The sequence below is a fragment of the Homo sapiens genome, chromosome 11, assembly GCF_000001405.40.
Source record: "Homo sapiens chromosome 11, GRCh38.p14 Primary Assembly".
In the NCBI taxonomy this organism is placed as follows: Eukaryota; Metazoa; Chordata; class Mammalia; order Primates; family Hominidae; genus Homo; species Homo sapiens.
The window spans coordinates 9,521,030-9,534,416 of record NC_000011.10 but is presented as its reverse complement, the minus strand read 5'-3'; the positions used below and the strand labels follow the sequence as shown (position 1 = coordinate 9,534,416).

At 43.9% G+C, this 13,387-nt stretch overlaps 1 protein-coding gene across 21 annotated transcripts in view, besides 1 other annotated feature; it reads right to left on the bottom strand.

The window, feature by feature from the left end:
- Positions 4,035-4,761: an enhancer, noted in NCBI's record as "H3K27ac-H3K4me1 hESC enhancer chr11:9551203-9551929 (GRCh37/hg19 assembly coordinates)". NCBI's record gives its function as "activates a minimal SCP1, AML or CMV promoter by ChIP-STARR-seq in naive H9 embryonic stem cells {active_cell/tissue: H9 hESC(naive)}" and the evidence as "EXISTENCE:reporter gene assay evidence [ECO:0000049][PMID:30033119]".
- The window catches only part of ZNF143 (zinc finger protein 143), a 67,513-nt gene continuing 60,018 nt past the window's right edge, over positions 5,893-13,387 (bottom strand). For all 21 annotated transcript variants that reach the window (XM_047427553.1, XM_047427557.1, XM_047427552.1 and 18 more), the window contains 2 exons: positions 9,031-9,177; positions 5,893-6,887 (listed from right to left, as the gene is read on the bottom strand). In XM_047427553.1, coding sequence (XP_047283509.1) covers positions 6,804-6,887; positions 9,031-9,177 — 231 coding nt within the window. In that variant the 3' untranslated portion in view covers positions 5,893-6,803. The remainder of the gene's footprint in view (positions 6,888-9,030; positions 9,178-13,387) is intronic.

Sequence of the window (13,387 nt, the reverse complement as noted above, 5' to 3'; positions counted from 1 at the left end):
TTTAGAAATTTATGTTGCCAGCGTTAAGGACGTGCACTTGGGAGACAGGTCTGTGCCTTTCTCCAAATATGGTTTTGAGGGCTTCAATATTTAAAAGTGGGAAAAGCAGGCTGGAGGGGAAAGACGGAGGGTATGGTCACATGACTGAATCCACATGTTGCAAGAGAAAAGGAGCAGGTAGGGGAATAGTCAATTATATATTCATCTTTGTAGCAGCTAAGGTGAACATAGAGTAGCTCTGTGGAGATACTTAACTTTTTATCTGTAGCTACTTGCTTAGGAACAAAAGGAAAAGTAACTTCTTGGATAATTCAGCTTTCAGCTTAATATTTTTCTTTTGGCATAGTGAAATTAGGGTCCCAAGTTTTTATTTTCCTTTCACAGAGGAAAGGGCAAGCAGGAGGGGAAGGGAAAAAAAAAAAAGGAGGGTGGGTAGGCAATGAGGCAAGTGGTTACATTCTTGTGAGGCTCCGGTTAGAGTTCAGTGAGTCTATGTTTTACATGTAAAAAGAAAGGGGTAGAGGAAAAGTCAATTATGCATTAGTCTCATGCTCAGTCAATCTACATTTTTTATAAGATAAGGTGAGCATGTGAAATTACAGCTCTTTGGGAACAAAAGAAAGGCCGTATTTTTGTTTTATTTTTGCTTTTTTGTTTGCATGACTCAGTTCCCAAGCTTTGGCCTAGTGAATTTGAGGTCCCAAGATTCTATTTTTGTTTCACAGTCTGAATGCAGAAAAGTGAGCAGAAAAAGCTTTTGCCAGGCAATTTTAACTATTCATGCAATTATCCTGAATTTTGAGCATTCTTCATTCTCAGCAAGATTTTCTGTCCTTGCAGTTTAGCCGTGCTCTAGAAGCAAAACGAAACTCCTGCATGGAGAATTGAGGAATCTCTCTGTACATCTCAAGCCACGTGAGTTTGGAACTGGAGGGAACAGCTAGAGGTGCCCTGCTACTCTGCAAGACCTCCAGGAGTTACCGGGAAATTTAAATCCCCAGCTGTCTTAAAGGAGCCCATAATCTAACAAGAGATAATATATTCCCAAAACACAGGTCACACATCTGCAGCAAAAACAGAAGGGCTAATAGAAGCGCACGCCTCAGCAGGACAGGCTACATAATCTGTGCGGCTCCGTGCAAAAATGAAAATACGCAACCTCTTGGTCAAAAGACAGGAAAAACTTGCTTTTAAAGGTACACATAAAGCCAGACACAAAAAGACAAATATAATATGAGGCGCCTACAACAGTCAAATTTATAGAGACAGAAAATAGAATGGTGGCTGGGCACGGTGGCTCACGCCTGTAATCCTAGCACTTTGTGAGGCCAAGGCAAGCAGATCACTTGAGGTCAGGAGTTCAAGACTAGCCTGGCCAACATGGCAAAACCCCGTCTCTATTAAAAATACAAAAGTTAGCCGGGCATGGTGGCACGTGCCTGTAGTCCCAGCTACTTGGGAGGCTGAGACAGGAGAATCGCATGAACCCAGGAGGGGGAGGTTGCAGTGAGCCGAGATCATGCCACTGTACTCTAGCCGAGATCATGCCACTGTACTCTAGCCTGGGTGACAGAGCAAGACCCTGTCTGAAAAAAATAAAAATAAAATAAAATAAAATAAAATGGTGGTTGTCAGGAACTGGAATGAGGAAGGATGTGGAATTATTGTTTAATGGGTACAATTTCAGTTTGGGGAGATGAAAAAGTTCTGGAGATGGATGGTGGTGATGGTTGCACAACAATGTGAATGTACAGTTGTCCTGCAGTATTGGAGGGGGATTCGTTCTAGGATTCATCAAGGACACCAAAATCCATGGATTCTCAAGTCCCTGATAATAAATGGTATAGTATTTGCATATAACCTACACACATCCTCCTGCATACTTTAATTCATCTCTAGATTACTTATAATACCCAATACAATGCCTACACATCATTCTTATGAATTCAACATAGTACTTGGTACCTTGCAAATTCAAGGCTTGCTTTTTGGAACTTAGTCTTTTTTTCCCTGAATATATTTTTTCTTTTTTTTGTAGAGACAGGGTCTCACTATGTTGCCCAGGCTGGCCTTGAACTTCTGGCCTCAAGTGATCCTCCTGCCTAGGTCTCCCAAAGTGCTGGGATTACAGGTGTCAGCCACCACACCAGCCTTTTTCCTGAATATTTTCGATCCATGGTTGGTTGACTCCATGGATGTGGAACCCAGGGATGTGGAACTGATGGATACAGAGGGTTGACTAAGTACCACTGCACACTCAAAAATAGTTAAAATGGTATATTTTATGTATATTTTATTACATACACAAAATGGTAGACATAAGCTTTTTCCTTCTTTTATAGTCTTTCTCTTGACTTGTCATGGTGCTTATTTGCTACTTAATGTCATTCTAAGAAAAACTACAGGACGGGCTCAGTGGCTCACACATGTAATCCCAGCACTTTGGGAGGCCGAGGCAGGTGGATCACCTGAGGTCAGGAGTTCGAGACCAGCCTGGTCAAATAGTGAAACCCTGTCTCTACAAAAATACCAAAAATTAGCCGGGCATGATGGCGGGTACCTGTAATCCCACTTACTCGGGAGGCTGAAGCGGGAGAATCACTTGAATCCAGGAGGCGGAGGTTACAGTGAGCCGAGATCGCGCCATTGCACTCCAGCCTGAGCAACAGAGCAAGACTCTGTCTCAAAAAAAGAAAAGAAAAACGACAAATTAAAAATTTTGGCATGCATTTTACCCTCCACTTTTATATCATACAATGCCAATTTTAAATGTGAATATCAGAATATTTATCTCATATTTGGAATCACTGAAATTATACAATTTGAATTTTGTGGTTCATCCCAGAAGGGTTATCTCCTGCTGGTTCAAAGGCACAACAAACACAAGCCAGGCTCAGGAAAGTTGGAAGGAGGAAGAGAGGATTCCTCCAGGCACAGAGCCTGCTGAGAAAGCCTCCAGGGCAGGGGACCTCACAGATGCCTGTGGGCAGGTGCTCTGTTGGGTCTGACAGGTTCCAGGTTCCCTTTCCTCCAGGTGTCTCCCCTTCCCACAGGCCTGCCACCTCAGCCTACAGCAAATGGGCTACCAGTGTCTTTAAAACTCAGAACTGGGACACTGTCAGTAAAGGGCTGGGCAAAAGTCTTGCCCCTTTCAAGGCTCAACTAAGGCTGATTGTCCACCAGGAGCACTGTGGTGCTGCCAGCCTGGAGTGGGGATGGCCACCACCACGCCCCAACCCTCCCTGAACTGGGATCAGACTCCTGCCAAGGTTAGAGGGTGGCAGCAGTTGCAGGGTGAGGGCAAGGAGGGAGAGGCCAGGTGGGGCAGTGGTGGTGAGAGCACTTCCAGGGAGGCAGCAGCCGGTGGAGCTGTGTGTAAGCTCAGGCGCTAAGCCCCCAGCACATGCTTTGTTGATGCATGAGACTTCATTTACAAAACACACACAAAGATAGACATCAAGACCGCAGCCGGGCGGGCGCAGTGGTTCATGCCTGTAATTCCGGTACTTTGGGAGGTGGATCACTTGAGCTCAAGAGTTTGAGAACAGCTTGGTCAACATGGTGAAACCCTATCTCTACCAAAAATACAAAAATTAGCTGGGCATGGTGGTGAGCACCTGTGGTCCCAGCTACTTGGGAGGCTGAAGTGAGAGGATAGCTGGGGCCCAGGAGGAGGTTGCAGTGAGCCCTGACCACGCCACTGCACTCAAGCCTAGGTGACAGAGCGAGACCCTGTCTCAAAAATAAATAAACAAAAAGAATTTCAAGACTGCAACCACAGTCCATTAAACCCCAAATCCAGGGCCCTTCTGAGTGCACTTTCTTGTTCAAACTGTACTGATCACATGCCCATGCAGGCGTGTCCTGTCCCTCAGGCAGAAGGGGAGTATTTGGCTGGAGTATTCCTTGAAAGCGTCATCCCTGAAGGAAACCTAGGTACAGAAAGTGCTTATCATGCAGGAGGCTGAGGCAGCTTTTCTCCCCTTCCAACACGCTCCCTTTTCCTCTTCGACACTAGACTTCAGCTCTGCCCCCTTCTTTTTCACATCCCACTCCTCGCTCGCTGCTGAGGTCTACCAATAGTTGACTAGTCTATAATCTTATCTGAGCCAGGAAATACTGGACGGTAAACTCCTTGGGTTGATAAATGGAGTCCAGTCAGTTTCAGCACTGAGACCACAGTTTCCCAAGTTGCTTACCTAGCCCCAGGGCTGTCACACGGGAAGGCAAGCAGCAAGCAAGAGACACTGTACAAAGTTAGTTTGCCCTGAAGGCCTGGGGGTGGGTAGGAGGGGAAGGAGAGATCTGGCTCTCTGGGCAGCTGTCACCTCTAGAGAATTAAGAAAGCCTCGTCCCTCCCTTAACTCTAAGTTCTTTTGAGTTCAGACTAGGGCACATTTTCTTTGTAGTGGCCTCAAGCTTTGTCTGGGGCAAAGCAGGGTGGTTTTTTTGGACGGAGAGGTTTTCCTTGAGCACTGTCTGGATCAAATTCCAGAGGGTTATGCCCCACCTGGTTCTGTTTGCTAGCGTTTACTCTTATTTCAAGTGTCTTTTTGGGATTTTTCAACCTTGGACGTTTCCATGTCCTGCACTGTGAAGAGACCCTATAGCAGCTTTCCTAGCAATTGTCAGCACACCAACTGCACCCTTCCCCTGGAGGAAACAGGCCACCTTGCCAGGCTCCTGAGGCCCCATTCCCAAGAAGGCAGGTCAGGTTAAACTAGCAGCGACCCTAGGCCCTTTTCTCTGGGTGCCAGAGGTCATTTTCTTTTGAGCTGAGGGATAATCAGGCTAACCAAAACAGTCCAGGTTAAGCCCTGCCCAATCCAACTGGCAAAGGTGCTGGGAGTAAAGAGAAACACCCTGGAATTTGAGCAAAGTCAGATCTAAGGGGCCATGGGAGGCTGACAGCTTGGTTTTTGGTCCTGGGAAGTACAGCAGCCTGGCTGGGCCCAGTGGGGAGGAGCTCCTGGCCAGCAGCCAGGACCAGCACTGGGAGGCTGGGCGCCACCCTGCCTGCGATTTTGCAGATTCTGGTCTTCTACCCCGCCCAACAGCCCCTTTCTGAGCCTCAGTGGGCTTCCGGGGGGAGTTCTGTGTGGGTCTGTGTCTCTGTCAAGAATGAAGACTCGATCGGTGGTTGACTAGGGCTTTTGCTAATGTTATGCATCTGTAAAGGGTTCTGCAGGAAAAGTTCTGCCCAACCCTGAAGGGCTTCCGATTTCAAGTAAGTCACCATCCTTTTTAGCAAGATCATAGAACCTGATCAAAGATAACATTTATGTAAAATCAAACAGCACAACGTTTTCCCCTTTCTACTGTAAAGCTTGAAATGAAAAAGCCACATTTCAGCTCTCTGCAAATAAAGCTCGCTGAACTACAGTGCAGGAGGGGCTGCTGCGGAACACACCATCTTTTTTTTTTTTTTTTTGACCTTGGTGAACGCTGATTTTCCAGCATTAGAAAATGGTTTTTATACTGCTCAATTCATTAGGCAATCAGAAATCACCAAAGTTCATCTTGATAATCTCTGCCACAAATGAGCATTTGAGGAGGTAACTGTGGTGCAGTGAAAACACACTAGACTTGGAGCCAGAAAGTCTGGGTTCTCGTCTTGGTCCTGCCTCTCCATAGCTGTGAGGGCTGGTACGACAGTCAGCCTCCCTCCTGGACTCTTGGTTTCCTCATGTAAAAAACGGAGGTAGTAAATCCCATATGTCTCACAAAATTGTTGTGAATATATAAAAATATATGGAAAAGCACTTACTCTGTACTTGATAAACAACATCCTTTCAATATGTGTATTAGGTTACATTCCATTACATTTGCGATATTTTCTGCACCATTTCCCCCCAACCCCCCACCAATATGATAAATAAATAAATATAAAAGTAACATTTTAAAAATTGCTGTATTCAAAATTAATAATAAACTTTGGGGTAAATAAGCTTTAAAACAAAAGTACATAAGCAAAAATAAATAATTTACACCAACCCACTAACCTAATTTTCAGAGTAAAGCCATTTCCAATTACAGTACTGTTATCCCGGGCACCAGCCTGTGGTTAAACTTTGATGATTCATTATTTTTAAAAAACAGTAATAAAAATTGAATACTAAGCAAAATCTTTAACAAAACCACTGGATTTAACTTTTTAATTTTAAATAACCAAATTTTATAATTTTGTACATAATTCAATGTAATGCCAATATAATTAGCATTTCAGCTTGAAGAGCTGGTTTTTAACAGGGATGGGAAACTATAAATTATTCAAACAGTCTGCAAACCATGAGATACAAATAAAAATGGACAAGCATATAGTAGAACAAAAACCGCAGACACTCTACTAACTGGGGAAATATCTGAAGGCTTTACACCCTTTATTATCCATAATGGCTTTTGGAATTACGATTGTGTGACATATAGAACCTTTGATATTTTAGATACAGCCTTTATTTTTTTTTCCACGGGAAGTTAAAAATCCATCATAAGACTCCATAAGACTTTACTAGTCTTGCATGTAGACTCTAGGAGTTTGTGATCTGATAAAAGAGTAACATGAAAATTTACTGTATTGCCCTAATTTCATACTTCCTTGTACACAATGAATCACTCTGAGAATCTATTCCAAGGGTTATATACACAAAAGTGTCAAGAATAAAATGTTCTCCACTCTCGCATAAAAATGTGTACAGTGTATCAGGAATGGAAAACTTCTAATTTTCCTGGGCCCGGGCTTCATGGATTTCTGCTGCCAGAAGATGAAAGACTCCTTCTGCTTTATTGCTCCATTGTTCTGAGGATTAATCATCCAACCCTGGCGTTTCTCCTTGTTGGATTCTAGACGCTATTCTGATGGCTTCTTCCAGAGATGGCTGTTCTCCAAGCTGAAACAGGAACACACACATCAAACGCTAACAATTCAAAAGCCACAGTCAAGAAAATGCCAAAGAAATGTTATATGCCAGAAGTGAAACTTCTCTCTGTAATTCTGACACTTGGGATTGTTAAAATACTACTGCTAACTCAAACATTAAGAGAACAAAACAATTTCCTGCAGGGGAGAATAATGCAATGCAATTTCTTTTTCTTTTTTGAATTTCAAATCCTATGTGCAGCCAGGCCTGGTGATATGATGAGGTCTCAGCGGGGCATGGTGGCCCATGCCTGTAATCCCAACACTTTGGGAGGTGGAGGCAGGCAGATTGCTTGAGCCCAGGAGTTCGAGACCAGCCTGAGCAACATGGCAAAACGCCCCATCTCTACTAAAAAAATACAAAAATTGGCTGGGCGCGGTGGCTCACGCCTGTAATCTCAGCACTTCGGGAGGCCGAGGCGGGCAGATCACGAGGTCAGGAGATTGAGACCATCCTGGCTAACACAGTGAAACCCCATTTCATTTCTACTAAAAAATACAAAAAAAAAATTGCTGGGCGTGGTGATGGGTGCCTGTAGTCCCAGCTACTGGGGAGGCTGAGGGAGGAGAATGGCATGAACCCAGGAGGCGGAGCTTGCAGTGAGCCAAGATGGTGCCACTGCACTCCAGCCTGGGTGACAGAGCGAGACTCCGTCTCAAAAAACAAAAATTAGCTGCGCATGGCAGCGTGCACCTGTACTCCCAGCCTGCCGTGCCTGGCCTGCAATTTACTTGGGATTTTGATAAAATCTTCATACAGTCTGGCCATGGTGGCTCATGACTATAATCGTAGCACTTTGGGAGGCTGAGGCAGGAGGATCACTTGAGCCCAGGAGTTCAAGACCAGCCTGAGCAACATAGTGAGACCCCATCTCTATTTATTTTTACATAAATAAAAACTAAAAAAAAAAAAAATTCATACATGCAAGAGACAAAAGATGCTTACCTCAGCCAACAAAAGAGAGCTTCTTGAGCCTTTAGCTTCTATACCCATAAACTACATAAAGCCAACAGCTGACATTTCCTGGAGTGTGTTCTAACTCTTTATCAAGTAAACACGTGGGCGGAAAAAAAATCTCCCTAAGGACAGGTAATCTGCACCTAGCCCCTAGGATTCTATTTTACTTTACATTCTAATTTTTTTTTTGAGACAGGGTCTCGCTCTGTTGCCCAGGCTGGAGTACAGTGGTGCGATCTTGGCTCACTGCAGCCTCAACCTCCCTTGCTCAAGTGATCCTTCCACCTCAGCCACCTGAGTAGCTGGGACTACAGGTGCACACCACCACACCTGGCTAATTTTTGTATTTTTGTAGAGATGGGGTTTCGTCATGTTGCCTGGGCTGGTCTCTTATTTTTTGAGATGGGGTCTCATTTGTTACCCAGGCGGGAGTGCAGTGGCACAATCTTGGCTCACTGCAGCCTCAAATCTCCTGGGTACAAGTAATCCTCCTGCCTCAGCACCCCCCAAGTAGCTGGGCACTACAGGCAGCCGTCACCACACCCAGCTAATTTTTGTGTTTTTTGTAGTGATGGTTTTCACCATGTTGCCCAGGCTGGTCTCTAATTCCTAAGCTCAAGCTACCTACCTGTCTCAGCCTCCCAAAGTGCTAGGATTATAGGGATGAGCCACCATGCCCGGCTGCACCTAAGATTCTAAATTCTCTGCTTCCCAGAGAATGATTCCTTCTAAGTCTTCTGACATTCCCCACTTTAAAATGGGGGCTGTGCAAGGATTCTCAGAGGACTTATTTAGGATTTGTGTTTCCACTAGGTTTTTCTCTAAGGAGTAGCTCTTAAGTGCTTTACAGACCCCTGCCTAATTAGACTTTTATTTTGAGAGTAAAGATGCCTGGGTGGGTGCACACAGGGATATATACCTGAAGGTTTTTTTTCTTGCTATAAATTCCCCTAGAATATGCAAAGATGGGTAGAGAACAAAGTGCTGGTCTTTTTGAGTCCACCTCAAATACACCGATTTCCTTAAAGTAGGCTAGGTGATAGAGATTATTCTACACCTTGCCTCCTGTAAAGGTTATACACGAAGCACAGTGTACAAAGTTGAAAGCTATGAGCAGCACTGCTGTCGACTGAGGACAGTATGCCTTGGTACTCACCTGAACTGCAATCTGGGTGCCATTGGATGTTGCTACTAAGGTCAGAGGTCTGGTTTCTGTGGTTACTAAGTGATGGCTATGCTGCTGGTGCCCCATTTCTGATGAGGCAGTATGGAATGCTGCCAAGTCTTGAGCTACAATTGCAACCTTAAGCAAAACAAAACAAACCATACACATAAAGAATTAAACCTGCGATTTAAATAGGTTAAAGTCCACTTAATACAATGGATTTCTTCAAATTGAAAAGGAAAAACTCCTCTGACCATAGACTTGTCAAAGCCTATATTGAAAGGAGGTTTATTTGAGGAAGTTGAGGCTCATTATCTAAGGTTATGAAGTGAGCCAACGGCAAAATAGGGTAGAGAACACTGGAGAAATGGATCTGCTATGCCAGGCCCCATTAGCCAGGGAGATGTGGCTGTACCTAGATTCTATTACCCCTAAGTGACTGCTTGGGAAGTTATGTATGTGGACTAATTTGCACCTCAAATGTCCATTTTTTTTTCCTGAGATTGGCTCATAGGAGAAAATAAATGATTTTTTTCCTCTTTACTTGTCGTATTTAAAATTAGATTTCCATTTAACTAGGAAAACTGAAAGGACCAGTGGTACTACTGACAAACAGCATCTCATCTCATACTCATTTCCCATTTTAGACTCCATGGAATCTTCCCATACTCCTCTTGCAGCATCTAGCCAGGAGGATTAAAAGGGCTTTTGTGGCTCTTATACCACAAGTACAACTTTTTAAAAAAATGCAGATAACATGGAAAATGGCAATTAACTATTTCTGTTAGATGATATTCTAAAATTTTACTCAGCCAAATTCAGAGAAAGAATAGATTAAAAATGAAAACTGCTGTTTTACTTGGCTATTCATCCACTAAAAATGCTACATTTTAAGCTAATAGATATTTAGCTTGGATCAATCCCAATAATGTTCCCTAATTCTATAAGAAAAACAGATTTCATTCCAGCAATGTCTAAGTAGCTTATATTGGGCTAACCTTCCTGCAGATAACAATTATAAACCCTTGACAAAAATATGAAAAAGCAACTATATGAAGGCTTTGAGGAGCAATGACAAGCAGGAAGAAACTAGAGGGGATTCTCAAAAGAAGGGAGTCACACTGTGTTATATCTGTGTTTAAATAGATTTCACACTGAGGGCACTACCCAGTTTGAGCAGCCTGGGGCAACTTAAGGTTAAAGATAATGGAGTCCAGGGCTGCCAGAATAGCAGTACAGAGAAGAATAGCCCAGAAAGCAAAGAATTTGAGTGGGAAGCCCCCAAATCTTTGTATAAACTGTCCTCAAATCCTTTTTTTTTTTTTTTTTTTTGAGGTAGTCTCGCTCTGTCGCCCAAGCTGGAATGCAATGGCTTGATCTCAGCTCACTGCAAACTCTGCCTCCCAGGTTCAAGCGATTCTTCTGCCTCAGCCTCCCGAGTAGCTGGGATTACAGGCATGCGGCACCTCACTCGGCTAATTTTTGTATTTTTAGTAGAAACAGGGTTTCTCCAAGTTGGTCAGGCTGGTCTCGAACTCCTGACCTCAGGCGATCCACCCGCCTCGGCCTCCCAAAGCGCTGGGATTACAGACGTGAGCCCCCGCGCCCAGCCAGAATAATAATTATTATTATTATATATTTTTTGAGACGGAGTCTCACTTTGTCGCCCAGGCTGGAGTGCAGTGGCGCCGTCTTGGCTCACTGCAAGCTCCGCCTCCCGGGTTCACGCCATTCTCCTGCCTCAGCCTCCCGAGTAGCTGGGACTACAGGCGCCCGCCATCACGCCCAGCTAATTTTTTGTATTTTTTAGTAGACACGGGGTTTCACCGTGTTAGCCAGGATGGTCTCGATCTCCTGACCTCGTGATCCGCCCGCCTCAGCCTCCCAAAGTGCTGGGATTACAGGCGTGAGCCACCGCGCCCGGCCTCAAATCCTTAAGACCCCTCAACACAAATATTTCCGGTTTCCAACAACATTCCAACAAGACTGGCAAAGCAGCATCTAGAAGGCTGAGAAACTAAGGAGAGCTTTCAGTGCAACTCACCAAAGAGAGACGGAATTTGAAGTTTCAATCTTACCAAGTTAGGAGGTAAGATTACGTCCCAGGACTAAATATTCACCCTAAGACCTTATAGCAACACTGAAACAGACCTGCCTTAACAAAGTACAAAACCCAGCCACAACACGTAATTTAACTAGCTAATAGAAAAAAAAAATCAATATTCTCCAGAGAAAGATAACAAAATTCAGAATCTCTATAATGTGTCATCCACAAGGTCCAGAATGCAATTTAAAAATTACAATTGCTTAGCCAGGCATGATGGCTCACGCTTGTAATCCTAGCACTTTGGGAGGCCGAGGTGGGTGGATCACCTGAGGTCAGGAGTTCGAGATCAGCCTGGCCAACATGGTGAAACCCCACCTCTACTAAAAAAAAAAATACAAAAAATTAGCTGGGCATGGTGGCGGGTGCCTGTAGTCCCAGCTACTCGGGAGGCTGAGGGAGGAGAACCAGGTCAAAGACAAATTAATATACATTCTCCATCTGAAGAACCTTGAGAAAGATTGTTAAAAACCCCAAATAGGCCAGGTGTGGTGGCTCACACCTGTAATCCCAACACTCTGGGAGGCCAAGGCGGGTGGATCACCTGAGGTCAGCAGTTCGAGACCAGCCTGACCAACATGGTGAGACCCCGTCTCTACTAAAATTACAAAAATTAGCCAGGTGTGGTGGCCGGTGCTTGTAATCCCAGCTACTTGGGAGGCTGAGGCAGGAGAATCGCTTGAACCCGGGAGGCGGAGGTTGCAGTGAGCCGAGAGCGTGCCATTGCACTCCGGCCTGGGCAACAAAAGCGAAAACTGTCTCAAAAAAACAAAAAACAAAAAAGCCAAATAGATTCCCAGCAACTTGTAAGACAACACCTAGTTAATATACATGTAACTAGAGTTCCAGAAGGGCAGTAGACAATTTAAATTTTTTTTTTTTTCCCCAGAAGCAGTGGCTTGTACCTGCAGTCCTAGCTTCTTGGGAGGCTGAGGCTGAGGGATCCCTGAAGCCCAGGAGTTTGAGGCCAGCCTGGGTCCCAGCTACTCGGGAACACTTGCCTCAGCCTCCCAAAGTGCTGAGATTACAGGTGTGAGCCACTGCGCCCAGTCCTTATTTCCTTCCATTTACTTTTTTTGTTTAATTTTTCTTAAGGTAGAAACTAAGATCATTCAATTTAAACCTTTTTTTTCCAATACAAGCATTTAAAAGAAATTTTCCTCTAAGAATTGCTTTACCTTCCACTGACTTTTTTTTTTTTTTTTTTTGAGACAGGGTCTCCCTCTGTCGCCCAGGCTGTAGTGTAGCTGTGCTACCTCAGTTCACTGCAACCTCTGCCTCCTGGGCTCAAATGATCCTCCCACCTCAGCCTCCTGAGTAGCTGGGACTACTGGCATGCGCCACCACACCTGGCTAATTTTGTATTTTTAGTAGAGATGGGGTTTCACCATGTTGCCCTGGGTTGGTCTTGAACTCCTGACCTCAGGTGATCCACCTGCCTCAGCCTCCCAAAGTGCTGGGATTACAGGCATGAGCCACCGCACCCGGCCCCCAGATCCTATGTATATTAAAGAGATAATAAGGAAATAGTATGAACATCTTTATATCAATAAATATGAAAACTTAGATGAAACAGACAAACTTACAAAAACAAAACTTAGCAAAATGGATACAAAAAAACATAGATAACTTGAATAGTATAGATCCACTTAAAAACTTGAATCCATAGTAAAAAACAACAACAACAACAACAAAAAAAAAACAAAAAAAAACCTCCGCAAAAAGAAAACTCTGGGCATAGATGGTGGTGTCCTAATTAACTCTATCAAGCTTTTATGGAGAAATAATACCAATCTTACACAACTATCAGAAAATAGTACAGAAGAGAACACTTCCCAACTTGTTTTATGAGGCAAGCCTAACCCTGATATTGAAACAGGAGATGAAACTTTTTCTTATAATTTCATAATAAATTATAGATCAATATGGTTCATAAACATTGACACCAAAATCCTTAACAAGATATTAGCAAATTGTCACAGAGGATTTTAAGGGCAGTAAAAATACTCTAATAGAGTATGATCCTCTATTGATAGATGTATGTCATCATACGTTTGTCCAAACCCATAGAATGTACAACACTAACAGTGAATCCTGATGTAAATGATGGACTCTGGGTGATTGTGATGTGTACGTGTAGGTTTCAACAGTAACAAACGTGTTCCTCTGGTGGGGGTGTTCATTATGCAGGAGGCTATGTATGTGTGGGGGCAGGGAGTGTAAGGGAAGTCTCTGTACCTACCT